At 40.2% G+C, this 6,689-nt stretch overlaps 1 annotated feature.

Annotated features, from left to right (window-relative positions):
• Positions 4,831-6,187: an enhancer, noted in NCBI's record as "VISTA enhancer hs1175". NCBI's record gives its function as "enhancer in: forebrain[4/8] | nose[7/8]" and the evidence as "EXISTENCE:transgenic organism evidence [ECO:0001131][PMID:17130149]".

Genomic DNA, 6,689 nt, shown 5'->3' on the forward strand with positions numbered 1-6,689 from the left:
TTTAAAACAATTATATCTGGAGGAAGTGAGATTATGAAAGATCTTGATTGTCAGACAAGAAACTAGGTTTTGTTCTATGCACATTTGGTTGCATTAGATGGTTTTTGAGCCTGAGTGTGACCATGGTACATAAATGAGCAGGAGAATGGAAAGGCTGGAGGCAAAGCTACTTAGAAGACAATATTTACCAGGCAAGACTCTGAGGAGGGCCACAGAAATGGGAAAGATGGGACAAATGAGTGTAAGAACATAAGAGATTTATTATTACATAGGAAGCAATATTAGGTCATCCCAAGGAAGGTATCTGCCGCTCAAAGTTAGATCTTGAAAGTATTACTGAAGTAAACAGTGATCACTCTTTTAAAAAAATCCCACACCATCAATTTTCTTGATGGCGCAGGGAATGACCAAGGGGGAAAAACACAGAAGATAAAGATTTTGAATAGAAAAGTTATCTAGAAGAGTTGGACTCTGTGCCAATCATGGAATGGTCAGGGATCAGAATTCACCATCGGGGGTTCAAATAAAAAGGCTTTAATAAAAGAACTAAGGTCCCACTGAGAAGTCATTACTACCCCTAGTTTTGAAAATATTAAGGCAGGAGATCTTAATAGGAACTCAGTAAGAACTGGGGAAGCTGTAGTCCCAGAGGGTTACAGTGACTACCAGAGACATTGCACCATAGCTGGGAGAAATACTCCAATATTCCTTTTCTCATTCCCCAGTCTCCTGATGGTGCCTTTCACTGGCTAAGCCAATCAGCACCTGGAAGACACTGAGCTTGGAAGATGCAGCCCACAGTGGTGAGCTCCCCAGGGCACAGAGCTGGATAGAGAAAGACAGACATATAGAACTGGAGGGGCAATTAGAGAATATGAAGATGTTCTAGAATATTCAACGAATTTATTTTACTGATATTTTCCTTTTATGTGCAGGGAAACAATAAATGACAAACGAAAATGTCTAAATGTGTATGAAAGAGCTTTTGCAGAAAGTATACAAAAAAAACTGGAAGTAACAAAAACATTGTGTCAGTTTAATTGACAGCTTTTTCCCCCTTCCTAATGGTTCATGAAATAACGGTGAGTCACACGATGCTGCTCCACTTTTTTTTTTTTAACAAAAAAAGAGGATTTGGTAATTTAGGATGCATTTGTTGCAAGAAACAGAATCCAATGCAAGATGATAAACAACAAAAACAGTATTAGTTGCTTCCCATAACTAGAAAGTCCCTATCTAGGGTGGACATAAGGGTTGGGTAGATTTGGTGGCCCAGTGATAAAATCGAGTACATAGTTTCTTTCTGGCCTTCTGCTATGTGTTTCATTGTATCATATTCATCCTGGAGCTGGCTCCCTTCCTGTGGCTGAAAGAAGGCAGCAAACAATCCCTTGAATTACATTTTCAATATAGATAGAAAACAAGTTGTTGCTGGAAACTCCCTCAGGAGATCCTTCCCAGAAGCATCTGGAACACTACCCCCTGCACTACTCACTGGACCAAATATCTGCTCTATAGTAATGACCAACAAATAGAATCACACTGATTAACATAGGCTTGAGTGACATGACTGTTTCTAGAGTCAAGGTAGAGTTAAGTTCCCCCCACAACCAGACAGCTACACTAGAGAACTGTGAATTGCTACATGTTCCCTGCCCTCCAAAAGTGAGGGTAATGACCAACAGAGGGGTGAATGGGTCCTTGGGAAGTAGGCACCACCTGTACAATACTATTTAACTAAAATATCGTTGCTTTTCATGGCATTATAAAACATGCAATACATGCACCATGGTCAAGATTCTCTCCCTCTTTTTTTTTTTTTTTTTTTTTTTTTTGAGACAGGGTCTCACTCTGTCACCTAGGCTGGAGTGCAATGGCATGATCACAGCTAACTGCAGCCTTGACCTCTGAGGCTCAAGCAATGATCCCACCTCCACCTCCCAAGTAGCTGGGACTACAGGCAAGTGCTACCACACCCAGCTAATTTTTGTAGAGGCTGAGTTTCACCATGCTGCCCAAGCTGGTCTCAAACTCCGGGGCTCAAGCCATCTGCTTGCCTCAACCTCCCAAAGTGCTGGGATTACAGGCATGAGCCACCACACCTAGCCAGTCAAGATTTTTAATAGCAAACAACTGAATACACTCTAGCTGGTGAAAGTAAACAAAGACTTTATTAAAGGCATTAGGGAGCTCTTGGAATTTTCAGAAGACTCAGAGAACTAGACCATAAAGCTAATCAACCACACCAAATTCTTTGCTATTGAAACACCTCATAATACCATTTGGTAATACAGCATGTAGAACCGAATGCTAGGAAGCCAGTACCAACACCAAAAAACTGAACAGCCAGGCACAGTGGCTCATGCCTATAGTCCCAGCTACTCAGCAACATAGTGGGACCCCATCTCTAAAACAAAGAAACAACAACAACAACAACAAAACCCAAACACCTCCAAACACCTTTGCCACTATGCTTGCCTGGAGATTGAGCTCATGATGCCTTCAACTGCATCCAAATCTCATGTGTGCATGTCCGATTGTCAGAGCCCAGGTCATATGCCTGAACCTCAGCTCCCACAGAGTATGGTGATGGCGTGTCCGGCATCTACCTGAGAAGGTAGGATTCAGTGTGGGATGTATTCAAGATCAGAAAAGTATCCAGAAGATTTTGAGCAGCCCCAAATAGTACTTCAACATGCAATGTCATTCACTGCTTCTGTGGGCCCAGGAAAATGTACTCCTGGGCAAATGAATCACAGCTCAGAGAAAGAAAGATTTGTTCAGCAAATGCCGCAAAAATGCCTCACTCTGCAGTTTAATAGGGTGGCAATGCAAACAGGATGCTCTGAGAGGAAAATCATGCCTAGCTATCTCAATCTGTATCTCTACCAGGCTCAAAATTCACTTAATTCTAGGACCAACACTGATCCCTGCCATAACATAAATACTCATTTAACAACTGTCCTATGTGTTATCTGTGTATCACTTAGTTTCTTGGCTCCTGACAAAATCCATTTCTTTCATAATATACTTCAGATATAAAATGTATTAAGAACAGACATATTTAAGGCTCATTTCTCTTTTGTGATGTGGCATGTTCACTATTAGGGATCTAGACAGTTGACAACTACATGGATGAACAAATTTGCAATGCCTTGACTGGTGTTTTTATAATAATGACCTAATTGCTTATAAAGAAATATAATAAAACTAACATATATGTGACACCAACTATGTGTTCCTGTATTAGGTGTTCTACAAACAGTATCCCATTTTATCTTCTGAAAAAGAAGAAGGTAGGTGCTATTATTCCCATTTTACCAGAGAGGAAACCGAGGCTCAGAGACATTCTCTATCTGGCTCTCCGTCATATAATCTGCCTCCTAGAATCATCCACTTACGAAATCTTGCAACACAGAAACAAAGAGATGACCTGCTTCAGAGATGAGGGTAGGATTCTTATATTTCCCAGGACTTTTCTACCATGCATCTCCAACCATTGTTTCCCCCGTACTGAGATATCATCCCTGGTTTTAGTGTGCATCTCAGATAACAGTTTCACCAACCCATCCACTCTAGGTTTCTTCCAGCCTTCATTAACTCTAATTTCATTATCACCTGTTCTGGTGTGACCCTGTTCCCTGTGCACTTCTCTCCTTTCTCATGGGAAATGAATTTCTGTCTCTGCATCAGCTCTCTATCCAACTGTGTGAGCCCCGAGGCAAAGCACTCATTTGTATGTGAGTACTGTCCGTCTCTCCTGTCATCCCCAGCTACCTCCTAAGGCTCTGACTCTTCGGTCACCTCTGGCTTCAGATGGGACTAAAGGGAATTTCTTAACCAGCATGTTGTGTGTGTGTGTGTGCGTGCACACATATGTGCACATATGCTTAATATCACTCAGATCATTCTGATTTCGTGTATGAATTGTAGTTCTGCATTTTATTAAAGTCTTCTTTCACCCCTTTCATTTTATTTTGTGGATTCTCACCACTATTGAATATGGCTCATGTATCCTTTGGGAGAAATAATAAATAATTTTCTATTTGGGAGCAAATTAGATGAAGTTTATTTGATTTGCTTAGAAAGGCCAAATTTCTCAAAACAGTAAGTAAATGGGAGGCTGCTCTAGCAATACCAATGGAGAATCTATCAAAAAGCTCAGAAGTCCTACTGACTGGGGGAAAAAAAAGATATAAAAGACAAGACAAGAAAAAAAAAAAACCTTGCCTCTGCTTTCTCCTTCTTCCCCATCTAACCTCCTAAGCTCCCCCTCCCCACTAGCCCTCTGCAGTGTGATTGTCTTCTGATTCAAGGCCAGACAAAATAGCAGGGCAATAATGTTTTATTTCTGTTTTGTTGCCAGTGAGCTTGTGCTAAATCTCTCTATTCCCAGCCTCCTCTCTTCAAGTATATATACTTCAAGCAAAACAGAGGCAACGGAACTGGAATGTATAAAGTCAGGGAAAACACACGTGCACACGCGCACATACATTCATATATGTATATACTAATAATAACTTTTATTCTTTTACAAATGAAGGCAGTACTTTTTGTGATCTAATAACATTTTAATAAACTTGAATTTCAAACTGCTACTAAACATAACATTAGGTAACGTATTAACTTGTGTTACATAAAGTCTCCATTATTAATTACTTTTTGGTTTTTGTATTTTGTATTTTCGCAAGAAGTGAATGCTGTCATCATGCTCGTAGTCTGTTTCTCTTGAGTATATATGAGAGGTATTTGAAGGCAAACCAAGAAACAAGGACAAATATCATTACTGATTTCAAAAAATAAACAAAAAAACAGAAGATTGTGCTACTCTGACCAAGACAGAAGGGAAAAATAAGTTTAACATGTCCAAAGAGAGAAGTCGTAGCTATTTGGCAAAGGAAATGACTGAAACGATGTCGAATCTTTCCAAGAAAAGTTATGTTTGATTAAAATTTTCCCTCTGATTCATCCTAAGAAACCATTTTCCCCCAAGGCCTGGAGTGGACATTTTGAAGGACACGTGCCTGTTATTGATACTGAATTCAGTCTCAGTGCATTATTTTAAAGCAATCACAGTGGTAGCTGTACGCCAGTATGTGTACGGCCTTCAGATAAGCAATTGACTGTGAAATAATGGTACACAGCATTTAATATATACCCTCTGGTTATGGGTGTACATACTAAACAAACAGTATTTTAAAATATATGCGTATACATATAAACACGCAAACCCCACAAGTTAAAGCTGTCTATCTCTAAATGGACTGGCAGCTGCTTGAAATTTCCCCTCTACTCTCCCTAAGGTCTCAGGTGTGAGATCCATGAGCCAATGTCGCAGCTAGAACAGGTGTCTATCGCTGGGTAAATAGCAATTAGGCCCAAATTTCAGACTTTTTTTTTTTTTTCAAATCCCTTTCGGAGGAAAAGCCCAGGAATAAATAGTTGCTGTAACGGCCAGGGGTATTGTGTAGCATTATAGCCTCCAGCTGGTCTATTACATACTATAGACAGGCAAAGAATACGGGCACCTGACAGATGTGTTCTGTTAGCTTCATTAGGAAAGAAACAAAGAAACTCCTCAATTAATAGCAGCAGAGCCAAATCGGGGTGGGGGGAGAGCTTGAGGGGAGAGGAATCATAGCCTGTTATTTAAACAGAGTCAGGGAGCTTTTCACTAGTGGCTTAATATGATTCATTAATAAAAACAGCTTTTTGAATGCCCAGTTTAAGTCAAAAGAAATCACTAGCATTTTTTTCCCCTAGCAAAGGAAGGGCAAGATGACAAATTGCTGCTGTTAAATTCGTTTCACGTGGGGATGGCCTTTCTCAAAGATCCCTTAAACGGCAAGGCTGGGTGTTTGTCACATTAAGTGGCAGAGCAGTTCTCAAAAATCGACTGTGGCACATCAGGGTCTGCGATGAATGGGCAGCAGTGGCCATCCAATAATTTTATATATCCAGACCAGGAAGCATTTAGTGTTGTTTACATGAACGAGGATTTTTAAAGTAATGAAATGCAGCTCTTACCCTGATGAAAGGAAAATCTGTCCGTGGAGTCACTTTTAATTTTTTTTTCTTCTTCTTGGAATGGTTTGAAATACTGGAGCAGCCCAGTTGGTGACTGCAGGTTTTGTTTCTTGCAAGCAGCAGAAGTCTGGTTATTTCTCCTTTTGTTTTTCCTTTGCTGAAGATACACGGGGAATCTATGTACAGTGTAAATATGTACAATTGTGAAAAGGGGAGTTGTATATTATATTAGCAATATATGAGTTCTGAATAAGAATGGTTCTTTTTCCAAGCAAATCAGAACTACAGTAAGAACTCAGCTTTCGTAATAATAATTCCCAGTGATGATTCTGGATACTTGAAAGAAGAATACTACTTGCTACCAGGAGGTTAAAGTAGACAGTCTGACCTAGTTGCTGGGCTTAAGGAATGAATTCCTGACACCCCCTCCCCCCACCCCATCACCACCACTCAATTTATACAGCACAGAGTAAAAAGGACTCAGAGGCAAGGACCTAGAAAATTCAGGGGAATTTCTGGTCAATTATCCAGGTAATTCAGGCATAATTACTATGAGTGTATTCACCTGGATGGTTTTTTATATGCTAAGAATTCATGGATAGCAGGATTATAACTACCAAGGCACAGTTCAGTGGAGAGTAGCCACAGGAGTCCCGGAGTAA

Source organism: Homo sapiens, chromosome 6 (genome assembly GCF_000001405.40).
Source record: "Homo sapiens chromosome 6, GRCh38.p14 Primary Assembly".
Lineage (NCBI taxonomy): Eukaryota > Metazoa > Chordata > Mammalia > Primates > Hominidae > Homo > Homo sapiens.